This window comes from Homo sapiens, chromosome 16 (assembly GCF_000001405.40).
Source record: "Homo sapiens chromosome 16, GRCh38.p14 Primary Assembly".
Taxonomy (NCBI): domain Eukaryota; kingdom Metazoa; phylum Chordata; class Mammalia; order Primates; family Hominidae; genus Homo; species Homo sapiens.
Window position 1 is genome coordinate 88,044,047 of NC_000016.10, and position 26,689 is coordinate 88,070,735.

The 26,689-nt window shown below is 52.3% G+C and overlaps 1 protein-coding gene across 32 annotated transcripts in view, besides 6 other annotated features; it reads left to right on the forward strand.

Moving 5' to 3' along the window:
* BANP (BTG3 associated nuclear protein) overlaps positions 1–26,689 on the forward strand; it is a 128,081-nt gene that overhangs the window by 94,809 nt on the left and 6,583 nt on the right. For 5 of the 32 annotated variants that reach the window (NM_001173540.2, NM_001386991.1, NM_001386992.1 and 2 more), the window contains one exon: positions 21,221–21,286. The exons of the other annotated variants lie outside the window; for them this stretch is intronic. In NM_001173540.2, coding sequence (NP_001167011.1) covers positions 21,221–21,286 — 66 coding nt within the window. The remainder of the gene's footprint in view (positions 1–21,220; positions 21,287–26,689) is intronic. 32 annotated transcript variants of the gene reach the window in all.
* Positions 847–1,348: an enhancer, noted in NCBI's record as "H3K4me1 hESC enhancer chr16:88078499-88079000 (GRCh37/hg19 assembly coordinates)". NCBI's record gives its function as "activates a minimal SCP1, AML or CMV promoter by ChIP-STARR-seq in naive H9 embryonic stem cells {active_cell/tissue: H9 hESC(naive)}" and the evidence as "EXISTENCE:reporter gene assay evidence [ECO:0000049][PMID:30033119]".
* Positions 18,914–19,682: an enhancer, noted in NCBI's record as "H3K27ac-H3K4me1 hESC enhancer chr16:88096566-88097334 (GRCh37/hg19 assembly coordinates)". NCBI's record gives its function as "activates a minimal SCP1, AML or CMV promoter by ChIP-STARR-seq in primed H9 embryonic stem cells {active_cell/tissue: H9 hESC(primed)}" and the evidence as "EXISTENCE:reporter gene assay evidence [ECO:0000049][PMID:30033119]".
* Positions 20,405–21,080: an enhancer, noted in NCBI's record as "H3K27ac-H3K4me1 hESC enhancer chr16:88098057-88098732 (GRCh37/hg19 assembly coordinates)". NCBI's record gives its function as "activates a minimal SCP1, AML or CMV promoter by ChIP-STARR-seq in naive H9 embryonic stem cells {active_cell/tissue: H9 hESC(naive)}" and the evidence as "EXISTENCE:reporter gene assay evidence [ECO:0000049][PMID:30033119]".
* Positions 21,757–22,432: an enhancer, noted in NCBI's record as "H3K4me1 hESC enhancer chr16:88099409-88100084 (GRCh37/hg19 assembly coordinates)". NCBI's record gives its function as "activates a minimal SCP1, AML or CMV promoter by ChIP-STARR-seq in naive H9 embryonic stem cells {active_cell/tissue: H9 hESC(naive)}" and the evidence as "EXISTENCE:reporter gene assay evidence [ECO:0000049][PMID:30033119]".
* Positions 25,683–25,742: an enhancer, noted in NCBI's record as "active region_11348". NCBI's record gives its function as "activates an Ori minimal core promoter by ATAC-STARR-seq in GM12878 lymphoblastoid cells {active_cell/tissue: GM12878}" and the evidence as "EXISTENCE:reporter gene assay evidence [ECO:0000049][PMID:35858748]".
* Positions 25,843–25,992: an enhancer, noted in NCBI's record as "active region_11349". NCBI's record gives its function as "activates an Ori minimal core promoter by ATAC-STARR-seq in GM12878 lymphoblastoid cells {active_cell/tissue: GM12878}" and the evidence as "EXISTENCE:reporter gene assay evidence [ECO:0000049][PMID:35858748]".

The window sequence follows — 26,689 nt, forward strand, 5'->3', positions numbered from 1 at the left end:
CAGGGGAACCGCTGGTTGGTCATACCCGCATCTTGGTGCAGCTGCTTTGCTGCCGTGGGTACCCTGAGCCAGTGCTGTGTGACCTGGGCAGACTCCCTATAAAGGCCAACTCGCATTCTGCGGCGATGCTGCCTCTGGAGTGATGAGTGCACGCGGGCTGCATGGCTGGACTCTACCAGCATCTGCGCAAGCCACAGCAGGAAGCAGCTTTCCATCGTGGTTCTAGAACCCTCCTCTCTCACTCATGCATGTGCACACACACAGTCGGAACAGGTCCACAGGACAACAGGCCACAGCGAGAAGGCAGCTTTCCACTGTGGTTCCAGAGCCCTCCTCCCTCGCTCACGTGTGTGCACTTACAAGGTCGGAACAGGTCCACAGAACGGTATTACTGCGTGCTGATTGCACTAATATTTTTTATTGTTTTCTGTTCTGCTTTTCTGTTTCTCTTCCTTTTTGTCTCTTTGAAAACTGGCTATGACACATTGCATTGATTTTGCAACCCACACTTTGAAAAATACTGGAATAGATGATCGCTAATGTCTCTTTCTTAAGAGTTTGTAGTTCTAAAAGTTGTAATTGAGTAGCTGGGACTATCGGTGTGCACCACTTCACCTGTGTAATTAAGTAATTTTTAAAAATTTACAACTATATAGGCTGGGCACGGTGGCTCACGCCTGTAATCCCAGCACTTTGGGAGGCCGAGGCAGGTGGATCACGAGGTCAGGAGATCGAGACCATGCTGGCTAACACGGTGAAACCCCTTCTCTACTAAAAATGCAAAAAATTAGCCGGTGCGGTGGCAGGCGCCTGTAGTCTCAGCTACTCGGGAGGCTGAGGCAGGAGAATGGCTTGAACCCTGGAGGCGGAGCTTGCATTGAGCTGAGATCGCGCCACTGCACTCCAGCCTGGGCAACAGAGCGCGACTCCGTCTCAAAAAAAAAAAATTTACAATTATATAAAGTTTACACTGCAAATATTAATATTCTTCCTCATATTTTGATAAATCAAAAGATAATTGTTCTTGAATTGGGAAGCTTTTAAAAAAATCACATTCAATCTAAGAAAAATGATTATAAATGTGCTAGTTAAAAAATGTTTAGCATTCTTCTCAGGGCTTTTCATCTAGATCAGGAAAATTAGGATTATCCGTGTCACTTGGGCATTAGAATGAAGTTTTCCTGAGAACTGCAGTCAGGTTTTTGGCATGGCTGGCCTTCTGTTGGTCATATGGTGGGCATGGGACGGAAGATGGCTCGATGTTTGCCGCAGCTGTCCATGCCCCTCTACGCCATCCACAAGCCTCTGACCGAGTTGTCCGTGCGTGCACTTGAGCGTTTCTTGCAGGAGAGGCCGGGGCCAAAGGAACGCTTCAGTTGCAGCTGGGCTGTGCTAAGGGGCCTCAGCAGGAGCAGCCCTTGGGGGCCAGAGCCCAGGCTCTTCCAGCAACAGGAAGGACCTTTCTTCCCTGTGCAGCACCTGTCGAACATAACATGCTGGACTCCCTCGTTCATTCCCGGCAGAGAAGCGCTCCCCTCACTCCCCACAGAGCCCTGCTATGCCGGGCATTCAGACCAGCCAGAGGTGGGGGAGCCTGTGAGTAAAGTGGAGAATTGGAGGTGTGGTGCCACCCTGACCACAGCACCTTTCTTCTCCCTGAGGCCACCTCCTCAAATACTCTTCTTGGCCACAGATGAGGGCCCGGCTGTGGTTGGCAGATCTTTTGGGAGAGAACTGGATGGGTGGGGGGTGGGAGAGTTGCCATGTGTCCCAGTCTCAGGGCGGCCGCTCCCTCAGTGTCTGTCGTCTTGGGATTGGCAGTGTCGCTTCCTCGTACTTCAGTGCCCTCTTCACTGCAGTGGGGTGGCAGCAGCACCTGCTCAGGAAGTTGGTGGGCTTCGCTGGGCGCACACGGCCCACCTGGCACTCACCAGCCTCCGGGCTGCCCTTGGCAGGTGCCGTCCACACTCCAGCACTCAGGGAGGGGCGGTGCACATCCTCAAAAACTGACCACACTGGCACTGGTGCCCAGGTGGTGAGTAGGCGGGCTGTGGTCTGCAGACAGAAGCTTTACCCTGTGCACATACGAGGAGTAACTCATTTGAGTGACGTCACTGGACTGCGGCCCTTAGAGCCTCCTGACGCGGAGGTGGGCCTTTCACTTCTGCCTTTTGCATGTGTGAATGTGTGTGTGTGTGTGATTTTAGAGATACTGTTTTAAAACTGCGTACTCAAAGCATTAGTTAATTAACTAGGAAGTATCGTCTTGTGAAAATGATGACCAGGACGGAACCTTTTAAAGCAGGTCATCTGAACCTCATCGCTGTAAAGCAATCTGACTACAAAGTTCATTCTTTCACGTGAATTAAACGGTTTGGTAAAGAAATACTCAGCATAACGTGGACGTGCTCTAGTGATCTTAGGGAGCTGTGAGCTCGTGCAGTCTTGGGTGGGAGTTGGCATTGTTTATGTTCTTTTTTTAATTTTTTAAAAATGTTTTTAATTTTTATTTTTTTTGACACGGAGTCTTGCTCTGTTGCCCAGGCTGGAGTGCAGTGATGCCATCTTGGCTCACTGCAACCTCCGTCTCCCAGGTTCAGGCGATTCTCCTGCCTCAGCCTCCTGAGTCGCTGGGATTATATAGGCACCCGCCACCGCACCCGGCTAATTTTTGTATTTTTAGTAGACACGGGGTTTCACCGTGTTGTGTTTGTGTTCTTTAAAATCCATATCATGTTGGCCGGGCACGGTGCTTCACGCCTGTAATCCCAGCACTTTAGGAGGCCGAGGCGGGCAGATCACGAAGTCAGGAGATCGAGACCGTCCTGGCTAACACGGTGAAACCCCGTCTCTACTAAAAATACAAAAAATTAGCCGGACGTGGGGGTGGGCGCCTGTACTCCCAGCTACTCGGGAGGCTGAGGCAAGAGAATGGTGTGGACCCGGGAGGTGGAGCTTGCAGTGAGCCAAGATTGCGCCATTGCATTCCAGCCTGGGCGACATAGCGAGACTCCGTCTCAAAAAAGAAAAAAAAAAATCCTTATCATGTGAACGTGTTTTGGTGATCTTAGGGAGCCATGAACTCGTGCGGTCCTGGGTGGGAGGTGGCATTGTTTGTGTTGTTTAAAATCCCAAGCCAGAGCTCCCGGGGCTGCCAGGAGTTTGGGCTTGATGCGGGTCACGTAACGCAGGACACCAGGGTGGGGAAGGGCCCAAAGTAAGATACCACCAGGGTGGGGAAGGGCCAAGAATGCTTGCCCCAGTTCCTTGGCGAAAACTGCCAGTTTCTCCCCACATCTCCGTTAGGTAGTGAGAGTGTCAGTCAAGGCAGTATTTTCATGCACGTCAGTGAATGGGCCTTGCTCCTTCCCCCAAACCAGGAAGCTGAGTTTGGCCCCCTGCTTGGGTGTGCATCAGTCAGGCTTGGTAGAATGGAACAGGGTGCATGTTTGTTCTTTCAGCCCTCATTGGAGCTCAAAGATCAGTGCCCATGGGTGTGAGCTGGGATGGCTGTAGGTGGCATCCTTATTCAAATCCAGACTCCTCCTGAACATGTCCAGAAGGGCAGTAATTCAGGGCGCCGGGCCTCACTGGAGTCTGATGTTCTTAGTGGGAACAGCCCTAGTGTACTCCTAATAGTCACCCAGAACAGCTGTTCTCCCCACAGAGCACAGAGCACTCCTGCAGACCACGTTCAGGTCCTCAGAGGATTTAAAATACCAGTGAGCTAGGAATGTGGTACATAGTGAACTCCTTCCTATGTTTGGTGTACTTGGCAGTAATGCACCCAAATGTTGGGTTTGACTGTGCTTTCTTTTTACACTGCTATGACTATGTCCTGTCACTTAAACATTTTGAAGATTCTATCTGAATTTAACCCTGATTAGCAGGGTCCGCAAGGGCTTGGCCGAAGCAAACACTGGGACTTAGGGGGCTGTCCCCTGGGGAGGGCAGGAAAGCTGATGGGTGATGGGACGTGCAGGGCCGGCTCAAAGAGCACCAAGGCCTGCTGGGCCCTCTGACTTGTGTGGCTTCCGCAGCTGGCCGTGACTTTGTCATACCAGTTTTTCAATTTGGACACTGAAATATGAGTAGAATTTTGGTATATCATATAGGGGATAGTCACTTACCAGAGTTTAAAATAGCAAGAGGTACATTTGCTATGGTTCTGATTAATTTGATGTGATTGAAGACTTAGCCAACTAAAAATAATTTTCCGGAAGCATCTAATCATTTGGAGAAATAACTAATCTGCCTCATTGAGGAGATTGCAGCACAATTGTAGAACTAAATAAAGCGCAGACACGATATGGGAGGTTGGATTTCAGTAATGGAGGAAAGAAGGGGCCAGAAGAAAGGACGTCCATTCTAACAGTGTTCTCGGTATTGAATCGGCGCTCACCGCAGATTTAAGAAAGGACATCGATTCTAACAGTATTCTCGGTATCGAGTCGGCGCTCACCACGGATTAAAGAAAGGTGGATTCTAACAGTGTTCTTGGTATCGAATCGGCGCTCACCACAGATTAAAGAAAGGGCATCGATTCTAACAGTGTTCTCGGTATTAAATCTGCACTCACCACAGATTAAAGAAAGGAGGTGGATTCTAACAGTGTTCTTGGTATTGAATCGGCGCTCACAACAGATTAAAGAAAGGACGTCCATTCTAACGGTGTTCTTGGTATCAAATCGGCACTCACCACAGATTAAAGAAAGGAGGTGGATTCTAACAGTGTTCTCGGTATGGAATAGGAGCTCACCACAGATTAAAGAAAGGACATCGATTCTAACAGTGTTCTCGGTATCGAATTGGCGCTCACCACAGATTCTGACCTCAAGGTTGAAGGCGCTGAAGTCAGTGTCTTCGTCAGGTGTGGGGTGCGGGGTCTTTGAGACTGCACGGTGCACTGGACTCTGGTGTTGGCAAAGCTCTGCAGACCACATGTTTCCTCTGCTCTCACACCGTGACCATCATCAACACACAAAAAGACTGCTGGGACCAAACGTGGGGTTTTTTCTGGACACAGCAAGCAGTGGACACCAGCTGGGTGTCCTCTAATTCAGTTCTGACACGGAGACAGCGTCGGATCCCATGGGTTGAGGGCTCGGGGACTGCCGCCCAACCACACCAGTTGCAAGTTCGGGCCTCAGAACTTCTGGCCAACCGGCTTCAGGTTGGGCTTCCCACGACCCGTCTTTGGGTTTGATTAATTTGCTGGAGTGGCTTGCAGAGCTCAGGGAAGTACTTTTGTTTACTGTGTTTATTATCATAAAGAATACTACATAGGCTACGGGTGTGGAGACACATCCCGGCGAGGTACGGGGGAAGGGGCACAGAGCTTCCAGGCCTTCCCTGGGCACCATCCTCCAGGACCTGCTGGACCAGCTGCCTGGAAGCTCACTGAACCTGCCCTCTTGGGTTTTTATGGAAACTTCGTGACATTAGCATTCCTTCCCCAGGGTCTAGGGCAGGACCCTCTCATGGGAGGGTCTTAAGACCCACAGTCAGCAAGCAGGGGGATCATTAGAGTGAAAGGAGGGTGAGAGCCCGCCCCTGAGGTCCACACACCTGGCATCATAACAAGAGACGAACCAGGGCTGTGGGAGTTAGGGGCCAGGAACCAGGGACAAAACCAGTATCTCTCGTAAACACCACAGCTCTTCAGAGGGTTTTTCAGGTGGAGTCACGGGGGAGATGGCTGGACTCAGGCACTCCAGGAATGGAGAGTGCTGTGGCCACACGCTCAGTGACACGACGCCCCAGCCACACGGCATCCGACGAACACCAGACATCTCTAATGCGTTTCAGTGTGCCAGAAGGAAAACATGTTTCCTCCTCCCTCTGATTTCTTTACAGACAATTGTTTTCTTGGGGATTTAGATTACATACAGCATAGGAAATGTGTTGTTCTAATTGGAGTATAATATGATATTCTTCCAATTAAGAACCCTCTTCAGGAAAGAGCTGGTGTGTGGGCGTGGCCGGCTGGTGAGCTTCTCAGTCACGTTCACAGGGATGGGAATCCTTGTCCTCCGGTCTTATTCCTGATGTGTCAGTGAAGATTAACAGGGATAGATCCAGCTAAACATAGCCAAGATGCTATCTAGCTAGCTAGCCAGCTAATCGATGAGACACAGTCTCGCCCTGTTGCTCAGGCTGGAGTGCAGTGGTGTGATCTTGGCTTACTGCAGCCTCTGCCTCCCGGGCTCAGGCAATCCTCCCACCTCAGCCTCCCCGGTGGCTGGGACCACAGCTCGGGCTACCACACCCAGTTGATTTTTGTATTTTTTTGTAGAGACAGGATTTTGCCATGTTGCCAGGCTGGTCTTGAACTCCCGGGCTTAAGGAGTCCACCTGCCTCGGCCTCCCAGGGTGCTCGGGTTACAGGCATGAGCCACCATGCCCAGCCGACAAGATGGTTTTAAACTAATAGCTGTGCCTCTTTAAGACACACACTTGTTAATGGTTGTGTTGAGCATCTTGAACTGCCAGCGGCCTAAGTGGCGTTGCAGCCCACAGGAGTCTCATCCAGACCTGGCGGAATTAGGACCAGGCACGAGTGAGCCTGATTGTGTAAGAGCATCTGCACTCAGAAACCCATCATTTGGATAAGTGTGAGGGGTGTGTATTGGCTGTTTTTTCATTTTAATTTTTTGTTTTTAGAGACAGTCTCACTCTGTTGTCGAGGCTGGAGTGCAGTGGTGCAGTCACGGCTCACTGCAACCTCTGCCTCCAGGTTCAAGCAATCCTCCCACCTCAGCCTCCCGAGTAGCTGGGACTACAGGTGCGCACCACCACGACCTGCTAATTTTTTTATTTTTATAGAGACGGGGTTTTGCCCTGTTGCACAGACTGGTCTCAAACTCCTGCGCTCAAGCGATCCGCCTGCCTCAGCCTCCCAAAGTGCTAGGATTATGGATGTGAGCCACCACACCCAGCCTGCTTGTTTCTCATCTGCTTGCTGGTAGGTTGCAGAGATCCCAGAACCCCGTAGAATGCTAACCTGCATAGCCAGCTGAGCAGTCACTCTTCTCCCGTGATCTCTTGCTGCCACAGCCAAGCTGTTGACCGCAGCACCCGGGTCCCTCCCGTGTAGTGGCGGGCCTCGCAGCATGAGATCAAGGCTCCAGGATGGGGGCTCCCCAGTGGTTTAGGGCTGAGGCCGCAGACCCCCTCGAACCTCTGTGGAAACTGTGCTTCCCTTGAGGGATGGGGCAAAATGTCCATGCCAGAATCTTGAATGTGAAAAGATTGAGGTGTGGGGCGGCCTGCAGGGTGTGGGTGGGGTACGGCACCTTTCAGGGCCTGTTGCTGCCCTGCATGTGTAGATGTGGAGCTCCTTAAGGGCAGGACCCGTGCCCAGCACACATTGAGCTTGTAGAAAGTATGGGGTTTGCGGGAGCCCATGCCTCCTTCGGGCTCAGCCTCGGTGCCTCACGCGCAGTAGGCACATGGGAAGTGCGGCCATTCCCAGGCACTGCTGCAGTGCTGAGCGCGATGTGTTCCCACGTAGACATGGATTTGGTGAGCCACGGTTCCCTCTCTCAGGGGTGCCTTTCCCTGCCACAGTTGCAGGTTGTGGGGCTGGTCTGTCACCTTCAGTGTTGTGATCTCAGGAAGATAGCAGCCCACCCACCTGACATAAAAATCCGCATAGAGAAATTCAGGATTTCTCTTGATTTATTAACTGTGTGCTTTGTTGAGGGCAGCTCGGCTGATGATAAGTACATTTTTATAATTATGCATCATTAAATAGTAATTGTTAAATAGACTTACAGTTTTCTTTCCTATATTAAAAAATCTAGATTTAAAAAATCCAGATTTATGCCATTTCTGTGGTATCGTTTGCATTCCATTCATCTCATTTGTTTGAGGAGTTTAAGAAAATAAAGTGAAGACCTAAACATTTCCTCACATGACCAAGAAATAATACTCCCAATCAGTATGTTTCTGGAATTGGTAGCTGCTACTAGCTGCCCTCAGATACCTCTTGAAGCACTGTATCTGGAGTTTCTCTCATTGGGCACTCTTAACAGCCAAGGACAGGCACCCATTCCTGGACAGATGCTGGTGTATTTGTTGTTCTAATTACTACTAAATTGTTACTAAAGAAAATCAAAACAAAACACAAGAAAGATACGTAAGAGGTCACTTCAGCTCAAATGTAGCATATGGACATTCCCTGGCATATCCACGTCATCCTTAGAAAGCTGAAATACACCTTCTAAAGCATTGTGGCAAGCTAGCGCTCTGCCTGCATTAACTCAGGGGCCCCTCTCTGAAGTTAGAGACTTGCTTTCTCCTATGTCTTCACCTGTCTTGCATTTCTGAAGAGAAATGAGATTAAATTTGGTGACTAGGTTGAGTGCTATTCTCATTTTGGAGATGAAGACAGTAGACAGGAGCTTTTCTAGGACCGTTCAAGGAGTTAAAGTCAGGGATACATCCAGAACTCAACTCTCATGATTCCTGAACATTGCCTGCAGATCCCCCAGAGCTCCACCATCATCATCACCTCCACCTACTACCACTGCCAACACAACCACCTCTACCACCTCCGCCACTGTCATCTCCATCATCCTCACCATTATCATAATTGCCACCATCATCACAACCACCCTAACAACTGCTATCACCACCACCTCGACCACTATCATCTCCATCATCATCACCAACCCAACCACCCTAACCACTACCACCACCACCTTTACCATTACCATCTCCATCATCATCACTAACATAACCACCTTAACAACCACTACCACTACCGCCTTCACCACTGTCATCTCCATCATTATCACCAACACAACCACCCTAACAATCACTACCACCACCACCTTCTTCACTATCATCTCCATCATCATCACCAACACAACCACCTTAACCACTACCATCACCACCTTCACCACTATCATCTCCATCATCATACCACCACAACCACTTCTACCACTACCATCTCCATCATTATCACCAACAGTCACCCTAACAAACACTACCATCACCATCACCCCTGTCATCTCCATCATTATCACCAACCCAACCACCCTAACAACCACTACCACCCCCACCTCCACCACTGTCATCTCCATCATCATCATCACCAACACAACCATAACCACCTTAACAAACACTACCACCACCACCTCCACCACTATCATCTCCATCATTATCATCACCAACACAACCACCCTAACAACCACTACCACCCCCACCTCCTTCACTATCATCACCGTCACCAACACAGTCCCCTTCACCACCACCACCACCTCTACCACTGTCATCTCCATCATCATCACCAACACAACCACCCTAACAGCCACTCCCACTCCCACCTCCTTCACTATCATCACCATCACCAACACAACCACCTTTACCACCACCACCACCTCTACCACTGTCATCTCCATCATCATCATCACCAACACAACCACCTTCACCACCACCTCTACTGTCATCTCCATCATCATCACCAGCACAACCACAACCACCTTAACAAACACTACCACCACCACCTCCACCATCATCTCCATCATCATCATCATCACCAACACAACCACCCTAACGACTACCACCCCCACCTCCTTCACTATCATCACCATCACCAACACAGTCACCTTCACCACCACCACCACCACCTCTACCACTGTCATCTCCATCATCATCATCACCAACACAACCACCTTCACCACCACCTCTACTGTCATCTCCATCATCATCACCAACACAGCCACCCTAACAACCACTACCACCACCACCTCTACTATCTCCATCATCACCAACACAACCACCTTAACAACCACTACCACCCCCACCTCCTTCACTATCATCACCATCACCAACACAGTCCCCTTCACCACCACCACCACCTCTACCACTGTCATCTCCATCATCATCACCAACACAACCACCCTAACAGCCACTCCCACCTCCTTCACTATCATCACCATCACCAACACAACCACCTTTACCACCACCACCACCTCTACCACTGTCATCTCCATCATCATCATCACCAACACAACCACCTTCACCACCACCTCTACTGTCATCTCCATCATCATCACCAGCACAACCACAACCACCTTAACAAACACTACCACCACCACCTCCACCATCATCTCCATCATCATCATCATCACCAACACAACCACCCTAACGACTACCACCCCCACCTCCTTCACTATCATCACCATCACCAACACAGTCACCTTCACCACCACCACCACCTCTACCACTGTCATCTCCATCATCATCACCAACACAACCACCTTCACCACTGTCATCTCCATCATCACCACCAACACAGCCACCCTAACAACCACTACCACCACCACCTCTACTATCTCCATCATCACCAACACAACCACCTTAACAAACACTACCACCACCACCTCCACCACTATTATGTCCCTCATCCTCACCACCACTACCAACAACACATCTATCACAGCATGACCTCTACCACCATTGTCCCTGTCACCCTCTCCGTTGCCCTTACCTCCGCCACCCCCACCACTCCCAGTGCTATCACAGCCATCAACAGCACCAGCACCAGCACCAGCACCGTCAAGGGGTCAAGTGAATTTCCTGATTATCCTGAGTTGTTTTCTAATCTATCTACTTATTGGCCTCTCACCCTCTTCCTGTCGAGACTGAAATGACAGTGCTTCCTTTGCCTAGCTCATAGGAATATTTATGGAGGGTCAGTGGGCATGGCTTCTGTCCTTACTATGTAGGCCTTGAGTAGTAGCTTAGGTGTGATAGAAATGGAAGGTCCTCAGTGTTGCTTCAGGATAAAGCCTTCACAGTGTTGAATTTGGATTCTGCAGATTGAATCTAATGTGCAGTATGGTTTGAACAGTTAGTACCAAACTCTGTTCCTAGGGGGTATTATATCTATTGAGATGTTCAAATCTGGGTCAGTTCTTTCACTATATTTGGAAGATTTTCAGTCACATGGGAAGCTTTTCAAGGCTTGATTATTAATCATGCTGCTTAGATCATGAATCATGAAATTATTTAGTACTGTTTCTAGTACGTGTGTATTTTAATACTTTTTTTTTGCCCTTTTTTGCCCTTTTTTTTTTTAAACAGATGTAGCTAATGTTACCTAAGATGTGCACGAACAAAGCTTATATATGTTTATAGGCTAAACAATGTGAAATCACTGGAAAAGCTAGGAGGTATTTTGTGTATGTTCTGGTAAACCCATCTGTAATCCATACACCCACCCACCCCCTCCGCACACACACCCCTGAATGATTGAATATGTGTACGTACACATGACGCGTGTACATTTAGTAAAGTTAAGCAAAGCAGTGACGGATCCAGGGCGTTCCCACTGTGCACCTGTGCAATGACTTGACCAGGGTTCAGCTGACGGCAGGCTTGGTGACCTTGAAGCTTTTCAGCTTCTCTCCCATCTTTGGCATTTGTATTCCTCCTGATACTTCGCTTAAGAGTAAGTTTCAGAAGGCTTCAGAATCTTTTTCCATGAAATAAGGCCTTCTAGACCCAGCTGGGAAAAAGATTAGAAGACATGGGAAATGTCCAACATTTTACGTGTAGGATTTTTTTGGAGAGAGCGAGGAGAAGGAGTGTGTGTGTGCAGGGTGTCTTTATCTATAGCTGAAAAATGGCCTCTTGTATTTCCAGGAGGCTTTAGGCCACTCTAAATGGTTTGTCACAGAAGGAGGATCATCTCGCCTTCCTAGACACACACCCTATGTCACTTGTAATAAAAATGCTCCCATCAAGAAAATATATTCCTGCATTACATGCCAAAACACAAGCAGAAATCTTGGAGACTCTCAGTGGTTTAGGGAATTAATCTCTTATGGAGAAGCCTTCTCTACCAGAAATGGTGGAAAATGTAATTTAAATCATAAAAGGTCTGAAGTGGAGTGAGTTTGGTGTTGACTAGTCCCAAGAAACCCCCTGGGAAAGGTGTGGAGCTGCCCGCATGCCTCCTGCTGCCTTGCTGGGGGGCTCAGGCCCACCTGGACAGCTGGCTCTTCAGCTTCCTTGCCCTGTCTGGGGAGGTGGGGCCCTGACTTACAAAGGGAGGCCGTGGTGTCTCCTGCCTGTGGCTCTGACACTGGAGGGGTCCTTGTGGCCCCTAACAGGCTTGCCGCATGCAGCAGAGTGTTCTGAGAGTGTGGAGTGGCTGTGGAACTCCAAGGACTCTCTGCTTCTTTGCTTCTTGGTCTGTTTTGGCAAGCAGCAAGGAAGGTAGTTTCAGGCTTGAGTGATGACTAGTCAGTAAAATAGGTGTACTAATTTGAGGACTATCATTTTTGTCCCATTGAATTTCTTGGGACACTGTCTGTGGTTGCAGCGTAGAAGAATCTTTAAGTCAGGCAAGGGCCCAGGACAAGCTGGACAAAGTGTTTGGCTGGGAAGCGTATTCTCTCTCTTTTTTTTTTTTTTTAGAGAGAGAACTTAGATGAAATGATGACTGAAATGTACACTTTCAGTGTTTTACTCAGTTGAAACAATGGTGCCTTCGAAGGGCTCGCTGTTAGCTGAAGCTGAAATGTCTTTATCACAACCCCTGAGATGCTCCCACTGCTCTGGTCACGCTTCACGCTGGCCCCTGCACTCCTGGCCCTTTTGTTTAGCCCCGCATCAGACTCTGTGATGTCAGACAGTGGTGGCAGGCCTGATGATTCGAAGATTGTTTTTGATCAATTTTACCATTTTCAAATATATATTTAAAAGGTTATTCATTTCTTTTACCTGTCATACCCAGTGTAGTATACTTAGCAACACTGAGTGATCATTGAGTGAATGAATACAATGGCAACTGTTGCCAAGTTAGCAGTTAGTTATATGATGCACACATTGAAGACATTTGGAAATACTCTTGTTTGAGCCATTTAAAACTACGGCTTACGTTCACCAGATCTTTAATCATGAAAACATATAGAACAGTACTGATTTAAAACTCTGTAACTCAAAAAGCAGAAAAAGTGTGATTTCTGAATAACTTTACAAATCCTTTTGGTGGGATCCAAATGTGAGAACTTTTTCTGAATAAGGGAGTTTTGGTGATTCTTTGGGTGTTCTGAGACTTTTCTGTTGCCGTTGTTGAGCTGTGTCTGCCTTTTCTGGTGGGCGGGCCTGCCGTGTTGTGGTGGGGAGCGACTTCACACAGCTGGCACGGGATGCTTCGAAGTGGGGTACGGGCCAGCCGCCAAGAGCTCACCCAGCGCGCCTGTTGCTTTGGGTGCCTCTGTGGGGAGCAGCTAATGGATGTGTAGACTCTTTTGCCCCAAGAATTATCTTCTGGAAGGCTACCAGAGTAGCTGCCTGCGAAAGGAAACCTGGGCGTTACTGCTGCACCAGGATTCCTGGCCTCCAGAGGAAGGATGGTGGCTGAAGGTGAGCCTTCTCCAGGGGGATGCCCTGGAGACTCTTGCGGTCCCCTCCACGTGTTCACCTCGTCAGAGTCAAGAAACGAGGAGTGAAAAACACCCCTCAGGTCGCTTCATGCTGATTCTGTTTAGGCCCCGGCTTTTCCCTCATGCAAAATGCAGGCACTCTGACTGGCCCACGTTGTGTAAAATTGGAAGAATGTTCTTCACACCCTTCATGTTGGCAATGTTTGGGTCCTGGTTCTTACATCCCAGAAGGGAAGTTGCGGCACTGTGCGAGACAGTCTGACTTCTGACAAGTAAGAGAGATGGCGGGGCCATCTGGGTGGGGCGGGGGGGGGGGTGCGTGCAGTGACTCGCGCTGGCCCTGTCCCCGCACCCTGGACTCCAGGGCAAGTGGTGCTGGCCGGATGCCCACAGTGAGGAGGTGCGGGGCACGCAGCGAGCACTTTCCGGACAGTGCGGTGCGGGGCAGCGAGTGGCCGCCTGTGTTCCGACAAGCCAGGCGCCGAGGCTCGGTGTGGGCCCGTGGGCCTGATTGAAGTCACACTCCTGCCCCCTTAAACTATGAAACGGCGGAGTTACACGGGAAGAAAGGGTTCAAGCGTAATATAATTTCCTACCTTTTTTTCACTCTGAGAGTGAACCGCTGAGTGGCTGTTAAATTCATTGTGTATTTACGAGGAATCTTTCATCTAGAGACTGTAGATGCAGGACTGTGCCCGTGCCTGGTTAAAACGTTGAAGCTGGTGCTAAAGTGTGTTGAGGTGCCTGAAAGAGAAGCTTTTGTTTTTTGACTCACTGGCCTTTGGGAAACTGAAGGACAGTGCGAACAAAGATCCCTTTCTTCCTCAAATGGGAGCTTGGGATTTGTTGGGTTTCACGCAGGTGGGCCCGAGGAGGACGGCAGGCAGGGCCGGGACGTGCTGATGTCAGGCGCCTTCGTCGACTGAGCTCCTTCCTGGGCCCTGTAAGGCCTTAGGTGTAAAAATGGGGCTTGGTCCGCAGCAGGGCCCAGTTCCACGGCAGTGCTGTGGCTTCCTAAGTGACTCAAGCACAGGGGTCATTTCTGATCCACAGACCAGAGCTTCGGGGGATTCCTCTTCACTCTGACCACCTGACAGGCTGTTTCCTCTCACACAGGCAGTACAGGGGAACGTGGCCAAGGTTTAATAAAACCCACCACCATCGTTCTTTCCATTTTCTCTAAGGAGTCGCAGCCCCAGATGAAACGTGTGTGTCCTGCCCCGGGGTTTGTAGGAAGCCTGTGGTATCTGAGACCATGGGACTGGGAGGTTGTAATTAAGAAGCAACTCGGACCCATGGCTGCTCTTGGCTGCATTGTGTAATTGGCTCTGGACATAAAATATGCATCAAGGGTAGAAAAGTAACCTAGAATTATTTTCATGTGTAGACAATCTCTTATTTATAATGTTCAGGGCATTGTTTACGTTGACTCCCAAAGTGAGATCAACGAAAAGCCCATAAAGTGGCCCCTGCCGGCTTTTCCTTCTGCCTCCTGGTGGGCCCCTGAGCCGCTGCTCCTGCTTTCGGCAGCTGCTCCTCCAGTGGTGTCCCTCACGCCCAGTGTGTATCAGGGATGTTGCCTGGTCGGAACCCCTGTACCACAGTGCTGTGGTCCGTGCTCCTGCTGGTGTGCTGAGGTCCGTGCTCCTGCTGGTGTGCTGAGGTCCGTGCTCCTGCTGGTGTGCTGAGGTCCGTGCTCCTGCTGGTGTGCTGTGGTCCATGCTCCTGCTGGTGGCGGGGCATGACCTTGAGGAGAGTAGGGATGCTCCTGGAGGCTCTGCTGTAAGGGCAGGTGGGGGTGGGGTGGGGCGGGCGGAGGTGTGTGAAGGTGTGGAGAGGGGGCACTGCCTTCCCTCTCGGCAGTGCTTGCTGTTCCTGGGCTTGATACCACACTGTTCCAATCTCTGCCTCTCCTCTGCTTCTCTGTGTTCAAATCTGCTTCTTTTCATAAGGCCCCTGTCACTGGGTTCGGGCCCACCTGAGCCCAGTGTGGCCTCACTTTAACTTAAATTTGCAAAGACCCTGTTTTCAATTAAGCCCAAGTTCACAGGTATCAGAGGTTATTGAGTTGCTTTTTAAGGGACACGGTTCAGGCCACAGGACCCTCCCCATCCCCATACCATCTTCGGCAGAATGATGGCCATCACCTCGTCTCGGCCCCACGTTCCTGCAGGCATGTGCTGAGCCCTGGCTCAGCACCACAGATGAAGCTTTTTGCAGGAAGATGTGAGTTTGGTGGGGTTCTGGGTGCTTTGGGGCTTCCCGACGGAGACGTGTGCTACTCCTCGCGTCCTGTCAGGGCCCTACCAGCTGCACTGTCGGACGCGACACATGCCATGCCCCCTCCTCTGCTCCCTGTGTGAGACCGCATGGTCATGGACATCCCGCTGAGTGCGCCTAGGTCAGATGCACTTGAGACCCGGCATTGGGATGGAGTCACCTGGAGCCACGGCCTGGTGGGGAAGGGTCACATTTAGGCCCCAGACCTGCACACACACACCCCAGGAGGGCTGAGGTTGGCACAGGTGGGGTTCTCCGTGTAGTGTGTGGTGAGACTGGCTTGGCGCAGCTGTCTGTCTCTGGGCCTTCCTCTGAAGATGGCAGGTGCTCTGACTTACCCAAGTTGGGGGTGCTCTGCTGTGGCCGAAGGTGCCGAAGTGTGAGCGGCTTGTGTGAGAAGTGTGCAAAGGTGCTCTTAGCCACCAGCACATAGCAACCACCTGTCGGCACGAGTGGCAAGGCCGTATGTTTCTAAGCATAACGTAGTTTGAGGTGTGTGCAGAGACCGCCGTGCGTTGCCCTCCGGGCAGAGCCCACCTGACGAGGGGTCTCTCTGGGTCTCCCCAGCCTGGCCTGGCCTGCTGGTCACTCCTCCACTTGGATGGTCAGTGTGGGGCTGAGATTGGAAAGGCTGGCCCACCCTCTGTTTAAAAGCCACGTTTTTCCATCACGATTAGGAGGGAGATCAGCTGACGTTGGACACGCGAGTGATCCTGTGTGGAGGCTTCCGACTGAAGTGAGCTTAGTGGGAACGTTGGAGCACATGTTTTTAGAAGTTCGTTCTTTTGCCCTCTCACGGTGGATTCAAACGTATTTTTTGTGCCATACAGTAAGTTTTCCAAGTTAAAGAAATGACCAGAGCCACGAGAACGGTGCCATCTGGAGGGTGCGTGGAGGCACGTGGAGGTGGCCTCTTTCTGTGGGGAGCGAGAGGCTCTTCTCACCGTCAGCTCTGGGCTGGCATCTCAGCCCCTCGAGGTGTGAAATTGGATGGCAGCCCGGCCGGGCTCCCCGACCTGCCCTTCTCCCTTTCCTGGGGACACCTGAGCAGCGCCACGGTGATGGCAGGCTTGTGCACGCGTCATGCAGATACATCCTTATTTTCTTCCCACTCTTCGTCGTCCCCTGCCCGCCCACCCTCCCTCTCACCATCCAGAAGCCAGAGGCCTGTGGTCCATGGGGGAGCGCCACAGGCCTCGGGGTGACTTTGGTTGTGTTCTTAAACGTCCCCCACCCTGCCCCAGTGAGTCAGAAGACCCCAAGACACACACATGGTTAAGGTCACTCCCAGGAGCGCCGCCCTGCTGGAAGGGGGGGTGGGCGGCAAGCACCCGCAGGCCTCCACTTCCCTTCCTTCGAGTTTTTAGCCTTTGTGTTGCCTTCTCCCAAGGCTGTGCTTGATTGAGGTTCATGCTGAAACGCTGGAGCCAGCCGCAGAGCACTGTGGAGACTGCTGTGCCTACCGCTTGCCACAAGGCACCTTTGTGTGAATGTGGGGTCTCCCGGGGCATCTTGCCATCGCTCTGGGCTGTAAATCTGCCTTATAGCTCTTAGCCTGTTAGCTTTGAAACTTAGCCTTTTTTGGCCTGAAGGACGATTGTCTAAAACGTTGGATCAGTTGACTTAAACCCTGAGGTCTGCAAGAAGCTTGTGTGTGCTGTTTCTTTTTCTCCAGGAGAAGCAGGTTTCTGCATTTGCCTGCGCTGGCCTGCTGTGTGTGCTCTGTTTCTGACCATCCACTAATGGGTGATTTGGTTTGTGAAAAGCATTAGAAATGGAATTTAAGGGCACGTGTTAGTATTCCCATCAGTGGGTTTAAAGGCTTAAGAATGAGGATGTGGCCTTTCGGCATTTCTTGTAGGAACGTAGGAGAAAGATTTTAGGCCAGTTGGGGGCATCACTGGGATGAGCCTCTTTCTCTGAGCACCTCATTTTTCTTTCTTTTTTTTTTTGAGACGGAGTTTTTGCTTTTGTTGCCCAGGCTGGAGTGCAATGGCACGATCTCGGCTCACCGCAACCTCTGCCTCCTGGGTTCAAGCAATTCTCCTGCCTCAGCCTCCTGAGTAGCTGGGATTACAGGCACGCACCACCATGCCCGGCTAATTTTGTATTTTTAATGGAGACGGGATTTCTCCATGTTGGTCAGGCTGGTCTCCCAACCTCAGGTGACCAGCCCGCCTCGGCCTCCCAAAGTGCTAGGACTGCAGGCATGAGCCACCACGCCCAGCCTGAGCACCTCATTTTTCTAGTATGAGGAAGCTTCTTTGAAGTGAACATCTAGATTTGAAAAAGGCACCTTGGTTACAGTCTCAGCCCTCATACCTTAACAAGTTGGATTCAAAGCTGAATGACAAAAACAAAGGACTTCTTGGCTTTTCCAGCACACCTGTGGATTAGTGGTTTCATCCTCGTTTCTGTCCACACACTTCAGCAGTGTTCAGAGTGTATCTTTTAAAGGCATGGGGGGTGGGGTTCTTTTGTTTGGTTTTGCGTTGCACCTGAGTGGATTCTTGGTTAGATTCAGGATTTTGTATCTAAATAGTACTGAGAAGTCCTTGGGCTTCTTGCGTTGACCTTAGATTTACAGCAGTTTAGCATGATCTCAGTTGGACATTACACAGAATTTCTGCATTCTCAGTAGATAGAGGAAACCAGATGTGTGTGCTCAAAATGCAGTGCCTTTAGGCCGGGGTTCCCTCAGTCGGCTGCTCCCATTTCTACCTTCTGCCGCTTTCTTTTATCTGAAAACAACTGGCTCTGTTTCAAAAATGTTCAGGGGAAAACCCTCTGAATGGAGCTGGGAAAGTAGCACGTGTCTCCAGCCCTGTCCCCAACCACTGTCCCCAACCAAGCCTCTCTTGAGATGACGAGGTGCTGCCCTTTGGGAAGTCCGCTTCAAGTTCAGCCGCAGGCCAGTGTCCCTGGAGCCTGGAAGCCAGGACACCGTCCGTTCCAATGAGCGGCTTCTGCATTCCAGAGCTGGTTTGGAAATGCCTCAGACTGGGGCCCTGCTCCAGACATAAAGCCGGCAGGGAGAGGAAAGAAGGGATTGCACATTCATTGTTGGGCACTAAGTCGGAATTCGGCCCAGCCTGCTCTACCCCTGAAGGCCTGCATCAGACTTGGGGTTCTTTTCATCACAGGGCTCCATCCTACCGGCAGCAGCATCAACTGCACAGATCCCAGGGCGCTCATCTTGGGGCGTGCAGCGCTCTGTAGGGACCCTGGCGTGACCTCATTTTTGCTGCTTCACGTTTAAGATCTGACTGCTGAGTTGTCCTCATCACCAATTTCAAATCAAGCCCAAATCCACAAACTATATCTCAGCCTCCTGTGTGTTTTAAGAGGCTGCGCCGTGCATGGAGGTGCCCTCAGCCTGCAGCAGCGCAGCCAAGCGGAGGGCGCACCGCGGCCTTCTGTGTGACTGTTCTCAGAGCACGCTGTGCCTTCATTTCTGCGTGTTTCACGGCGTTGCCCTTGTGGTATCTGCTGACCCCGGTTCCCTTATTTCTAGGCCCAGTGCCTCGGCTTTCGCCTCTCAGCCCTCCCCTCCCCTCCCCGGTGTGGATGCTTTCTGCCCTGGCCTGGGAGCTGGTCCCAGAAGGAGGAGTTGTGTTGTCGTTGTGGTCCTCCCTGCCCTTCCACGTGGCCCGGCTCAGCGCCCTTGCTTAGTTAATAGGAATTCAGTGTTTCATTATGAAATCCACATATGGCAAACATATGAAACAATCCACCAGGTCCATAGAGAAAGTGAGTCCCCTCCCAGCCTGGACTCTCAGCCCGTCTGTGGGGTGACCGCTGGTCATTTCTGATCTCGCCTTCTGTGCACAAGCTCCTGTGATGATTTTGTAATCACTTCACATTTTAAAAGATCCCTTGATAGACGAGTTTCAGATCCGATCACAGCTGTTCTTAATGAGACTTGGGAAGCCGTGTTGCTGATCTCCAAGAGGGTTCTGCCCTCCTCTGGCTGTGGAAGGCACGTCATGGCATCCTGACCGTGATGTTGTTTCTGCCAGCATTGCCAGTGACAAGACTTCTCACATGATCTGTGCAGCTCATTACACTGGAAGAATTACAGTGTCAGAAACCTCAGAATCTAACTTTGCAGCTTTACAATAACCATGAAGGTAGGCATACCCAAGTGGTGAATGAAAATAAAAGTAGAAAATGTTCTCAACTGGGAATGCATTTGAAAAGTCATGACTTTCAAATGTTTCTACATTGATTTTGTTTTGATAAGTTTTTTAGAAATGAGCGAAACACTTAATGTACACTTAAGATTCGAAGAAAGAGGTACCGGGGCTTTTGTGGGGAACAAAGGCACAGACATTGTTGCTGCCTTGGAACAAGGTGTGGGGGCCAACCACAAGCAGGCACCGGCGCTGGGGGACCAGGGTCAGGGGGCTCTCTTCAGAGACGGCAGAGCACGAGGCTGGGGCAGGAGGTGTCGGGGGCTTGAGAGGCGCAGGGGAGCAGGGGGGGAGAGTGGACAGCGAGGCGGTGGATGTTGAGGCAGTTGTGCGTCCACGGCGGGGCCTGCCTCCGTGGCAGCGCTCCCAGCACCCTGTGCGTCCCTTGCACCCTTGCCCTGTGGTCACCTGTGGTCAGGGACAGTGGGTTCCTCTCCCTTAGCATGCTTGGAAGCAGTGGTGGCATCATGGAGCTGGGAGAGTGGCTTTTATTTGGAGGACAGATGTGCGCATTCACTTAGGGTCCAAGAAATGAGTGGGCCTTGAATGAGCAAAACAACCCACCTGCCTCCCACGGACAGATGCTCCCAGGATGCGGCTAGGCGTCCAGGCCAGCATCGGGTTGGCTGAGGGTTTGCCGAGGAGAGGGCATCGCCAGGCTGGGCGCCTGTGTGGCACCACGTGGCACTCCCCGAGGAGGCCTGGGGACCCCTCCTGGACATGCCTTCCTCCCTTAAAAAACAACAACGCTTTTGCCAGACACAAGAGGCTCCTGTGGAGCTCTCATGGCTGGCAGTGCCAGATGGGAGCCTGGTGCCTTCATGCGGTTGGGGGTGCTGCCGCTCTTGCCCGCAGGGCACTCCTCTGGCTGGGATAGGAGACAGCCAGGACCCCTCAGCTTCTGAGGGCCGTGGCCTTCAGGCTGTCAGGAGGCCCTGGGAGGTGGCTAGAGCCCAGTGGCCTCCAGGGGAACACGAGTCATAGAGGACATTTCATTTTTTTTCTCCTCCAATTTTGTTTTGGCTTTTAAAAACTCCTACAGTACAAACTCTTTCTAATGGAAAAAAGCGGTTGCTCTCCCTGCAGCTGCCAGCCCGCCCTGAAGGCACGGACTGCCAGGCCTTTTGTTTCTGTTGTTTTTGCTGTTTGGGAATTTGATGTTTTAATAAAGAGCCCTTTGGGGACCTGGCTGGAGGCTCCTGTGGCTGCCATAACAAACGACCACAGACCCCGTGGCTTTACCGGAGGGCAGAAGCCCATCCTGGGTCTCAGTGGGCTGAAAGCAAGGCAGGGTTGGTCCTTCTGGAGGCTCCAGGGGAAAATTCGTTTTCTTGCCTTTTCCAGCTTCTAGAGGCCACCCGCATCCCCTGCCTCCTGGCCCCATCCGTCTTCAAAGCCAGCAGTGGCCAGGTGAGTCCTTTGTACATCCCATCTCTCCCACCCTCTGTGGCTGGGAGGAGTCTCTGCTTTTAAAGACCCCCGCGATGACACTGGGCCCACCTGGCCATCCAGGGTCATCTCACCACGTGAGGGTGATCAGTTGAGCCACATCTGTGAGATCCCTTTGCCCATGTAAAGTAACACCTAAACAGGGCCCAGGGATTGGGACCTGGGTGTCTTTGTGGGGTGGGTAGCTCTGCCCAGCACAGCGAGCTGGGGTGAGACGCGCTTGCCAGGTGCTTTCTGAAGACACAACAGGAACGGGGGAAGAATTTCTCGCCATCTTTTGTTCAGAAAACTGATGGCACAAGTGGTGATGGTTCCCTCAGGCTGAACTGGTCAACCTAGGAGGGAGGAGAGCAGGGACCGGCTCTGCTTTTGTTTTTATTCAGGGGAACTGGGCTGGTGGCAGGACCAGGTTGCATGCTTGCTCAGGTAGAGCACAAGGAAAGCGAGTATGGAAGGGCACCCTGATCCCGGGAGGCCCACAGGATCCCAGCCCCACAGTGTCCCCAGCGGAGCAGCTCCCCTCTGGGAGGGCCCCAGCCATGCTTGCCTTCCACCTCCTTCCTGTCCCTCCTGGGCCCACTGCCCAGCTTAGGATTCTTGGTGGGGATGGGAGCACGGGAGAGGGTGTGCACCTGCGCCTGTGGCTTTTACGAGCCTGGGATAGCGTCCGAGCAGCCTCTGTCGTCCCACTACTGCGGCAGGTGCAGGGCGAGCTGTGCCCATGCGAGGCGGCCTCAGGGCAGACGGGGCTTCTCCCAGACACGTTCCTTAGAGCACCGAGGGCTCCAAAGAGCCTTTCCTCATGAAGGGGTCCCCTGCCAGGGGATCCCTCAGGTACACAGCTTTTAAGACTCTGAGATGAGGTTCACCAACGTGGAACTGAACTGCCCAATAAATGTATTAACAGGAAGTGAATGTCCAGGGAAAATTCCTCACCCCTGAGGCTGACATTACCAGCAGGCGGTAATTTTACTTTGAGTGAAACTCGGGAGTTTGGTGTCGTTTCTCTCTGTGGCGCTGCTGCTGCCTTATGGATTGCTGGGTACTGCGGGCCTGGCCACCTGGTGAAGGGCCTCGGCCACACCCACAGCCAGAAGGAGCTCGAAGGAACCCAGCTTCGACTCGGTGTCTGACACTGTGGCCTCTGTTCCCAAAAACAAGTGCCTCCTGCTCCTTTTGCCTAAAATTCTGTTTATTTTCAGCTGAGCTGTGTTGTTCACAAAAAGTAAAACCACATTGCCTGGAAAAATGTAGTTTTGAGGCAGAAATGAGAAAATCCTAACCCATAAATCAAGGAGGAAACTAGAAGTTTCTGTTGATAGATTCTTGAAAAACTGAAAACATTGAATCATTTTGTTCAGTTTTTTTTTCCCCCAGAAAGGTGCCAAACCTTGCCTACATTGCCTGTGTGTGTCTTTGCCATCAGCCTTCAAAACGCCGCTCCCAGCGGTGCGGGCGCTCCCTCTCGTGCTCCCTTGGGAGACTTGAGGGTCTCCCAGGGCAGAGGGGAGGCAGTGGCGCTGTCAGTGGCTGTGCGAGGCTGGGTGACTCTGCTAGGCAGAGGTCAGAGCCATCGGCCGGGGCACATTGCCACAGCGGCCTAGACATTTTTGGATGGAGGTACCAGGCAAATTATTTTATTACTGTTTTGAACTCGCCTAGAAACCCAGTTATAGGAATGCACACTCGCTCTCTTTTTTATTAATTGGTGTTGGACACACAGCACGTGGCGGGATCCTAGGGCCCAGGTGTGTGGGGGAAGGTGAAGCCGCTGACCTTTGACCCTTTGCAGCTCTGTGCCGCCTGCCACTCAGTGTGTTCTTTGCTTTGGTGCCAGTGGAGTGGCCGACTGGCTTGTGTGGCTGGTCTCATGGGGCTGAGGGGGTCAGAGCCGCTGGGCTGGGTGTGGGGCGCCACAGTTGTTTGGCCTCTCAGCCCCCAGCCAGTGTCACCCAGGTGTCTCGCCCCATGCCCCATGCTGCATGGTTCCCACCTACACCACATCTGCGCCGGGGCCTCCCTCAGGGAGGAGACTCGAGCTGGAACCAGGCTGTGACCCTGCACCCTGCTGCGTGCCCCCGCCCTGAGACGGGACCCAGGGGCTTGTCCTGAGGGGCTCTAGGCCGGCCCCACCTCACCTGCTGCACTGCCACCGCTCAAACCTGATTTGAGATACTTTATGGGTATTTTATGCCAGAGTTTCAGAGTCCTTTTTTTTCCTTGGCACTATTTCCAAATCTAAGGGGGTCAGCTGCTGCCACTCCCATTCAGAGCCGCTCCCCAGTGCCCAGCCCCCCCTGCACCCCACGGCGCTCACCCTGCCATGCTCTGGCCACCCCTGCCCTGGACGGCCGGCTGCCCCAGTCCTGGTCCTCCACCCTTTCACTGACCTCGCCCTGCTCCACCCCAGGGTAAACCCCAGGTCTCCACTCAACCTGTCAATCTCCCCACTCCATTGTTCCTGCATGGTTACACCCTGAGATGAGGGAACCCTGACGATGCTCCCGGCTGAGCCTTGCCTTCCCGCAGTTACACGTTGCACGGGGCCTCCCCGTAGCATCCACTGTGTCAATGCCCCCTCCGTCCCCAACAGACCCGCCCTCCCCCCACTGTCTGCCTCCTTGTGTCGTCAGTCCGTGACACGCCACGTGTGTGATGAGGAGGTGCTTGGAGTGGCACTGCTCTGCGTGTGGCCACGCACTTCGTTTCCATTTTCACACGTAGTTCAGAGCTGGGTGTCCGACAGAGGTGCCCGAGGTGGAAAGCGTCGTGCACTCGTCCCACCTGTGGCCCCTGCAGAGCTCCGGCTGTGTGGCACGGGCTCCTGAGAGCTGGGGATGGAGGAGGTGCGGGCTTACCGTGTGCTCCTCTGCTGCTCGCCCCAGGCTTGGGTTTCCTGGCGGTCACCTGGTTGGCGTGAACCTTGGGCGTGCGCCAGGGTCCCTGTGCTGTCGTGGAGTGCAGGCAGGTGGGCAGGCGCTTGGGAGTTACCAGTCAAGTCCCTGCACCGCGCAGACCATTGCCTGGTGTTCAGGAGTTTTCAAGGCCTCGGCCTGGTGGGAATAGTTGAGAAACGCTGGTTCAGGCAGCTTGCTTTATTCACAGCCCTGAGACACCTCTGGGACAGCCCCTGAGGATATTTTTCCCGGAACTTTCTCGGGGCCAGGAGTGTGCCTGTGCTGTGATGAGTGGGAAACGCAGTTTGTGCAGGGCCTCACAGAAGAGCCCACTGGTGCGGGTGCTGGCTGCCTCCTCCAGTGGGCGCCAGCTCGGGGTCTGTGGCAGGAACGTGGGTGGCTGCGGATCCACCCAGGACAGAGTGACTGCCTGGGCGCGTGGTGGAACTGAGTGCAGAACTCCTCCCCAGCCCCCTTTCCAAGTGCAGCCTTGCCCGGTCTGTTCCCAGGCATCACTGAAAAGTTACTGGTGGGTTTGCACATTGGCAGGAATGTCTGCTCTCTCTTCCTTTCTTGGGAAGAAGGTTCTCTCTGCAGGGGCTCCACCTCCCTGGGCGCTCTCGTCCCCAGCCTGTGGTCTGAGCCAGAGTCTCTGCGGCTGACAGGGACTTGCTCTCTCTTTCCTGCCCCTGTCCGTGCACCCAGCCCAGCCCCCTGCCCCTGCACCCAGCCCAGCCCAGCCCCCTGTCCCTGCACCCAGCCCAGCTCCAGCCCCAGGCCCAGATGGAGGGCGCTCCAGTGGGCTTGCCCCGTCTCGTGAAACAGTCCAGAAGCCTCAGTGTTCTCATCGTCAGGCTGGGTTCTGAATGGCGCGCTGTCGCTGCGGGACCTCGGGGCCTGTAAAGATCATGGGAAGGGGCAGCTGTGCCGGCAGCTCCTCCTCCTCGGTGCAGCAACTCCTCTCCGAGTTTATTTCATGTCAGCAAAAAGATGGAATTCTTGCCAGCCAGACATTCAGCTCATTGACCTGCCTTTTTCTTTTTTCTTTTCCACTGACAAATTCATTGTTAAAAAAATATAAGGCATTTGCTCATCAAAAACTAGAATTCTGCTTTAAAACCACAGGCTGTATCTTCTAAGGACTTTGAGAGGCCTACGCCCGAGCCCTCCCCTCACAGAGTCCCCGCCTTCTCTCTCTGCTCCCTCTCGAAGAACCCAGGCTGGAGGGAGCCGGAGGGTAATCGTGCTGCTCCGCTATGGACGGTGGTGGCCCAGGAGAGTGCCTCGGGGACCCAGGTGCTTCCTGTATGGACGCTGCCCCCACCTGCTGTGTGATGGAAGCCCAGCCCCTAAACTGCTCCTAACCCCACCCAGGTCTCAGTTCCTCATCTGTAAATGGCACCTGCACCCCAGGGCCAGCAGCCCCTTTGTCAGCACTCTGATGTCAATGCACGCACTTCACAACGCTCTGCTCCTTCTGTCCGTCACCAAAAAACGAACGTTTGTTCCTTGGAAAAGACTACAGTTGACCCTTGAACAACACAGGTTTGAACTATGAGGATCCACTTATACGTGCATTTTTTTTTTCAGTAAAAATTATACTGAGTGTGCCTGCCTCCTCTTCCACCTCCTCTGTCTCTTCTGCCTCTGCTGCCCTGAGACAGCAAGGCCAGCCTCTCCTGTTCCTCCTCTTCCCCCCAGCCCCAGTCAGCATGCGGACGGTGAGGACGAAGGCCAGGATGACGATCCACTTCCGCTTAATAAAGATCCACTTCCGCTTCATGAATAGCAGCCATATTTCCTCTCGCCTGTGCCTTTCTGAATACCACGTTTTCCCTCGCTTACTCTATTAGAGGAATACAGGTGATGGTACACACAGCACACAAAATACCTGCTCATTGACCACTATCAGTAGGGCCATTGGTCAACAGGCTATTAGTAAAGTTTTGGGGAGTCAGAGGCTGTACATGACTTCAGCTGCACAAGGGTTCAGTGCCTCTAACCCTTGTGGTGTTCAAGGGCCAGCTGCACAATGAATTAATCCCTGGGACCATGTCGGGCTGGCATCTGACACCTGGACTCAGAGGGCCTCTGCAGTAGGGGCCGTCGGGTAAAGAAACCCCAGAGTCCAGCAGAACATCTGACTCTGGCCATATTCCTTCTTGTATAGCATCTGTTTGAGACAACAAAATCCCGAGGCAGAAGGTCGACCGCTCCTTAGGTTCATTCTGATGGCTCAGCTATTCGCCCGAGGCTGGTCCCCGAGGCTGGTGTGCTCGCAAGTCGTGGCTGGCAGGGTTGCCAGGCTTGTCTGCAAAGGACCAGGGGGGATGGGTTTTCAGCTTTGGGGGGCACACCTGGTCTCATCACAGCTGCTCACCACGGCCCTTGGGTCATGACAGGCCAGCACGTGGGGGGCCTGCAGGCCTGTAGATGCTCACTGAAGATGGAGGTTCCTAGATTTGTC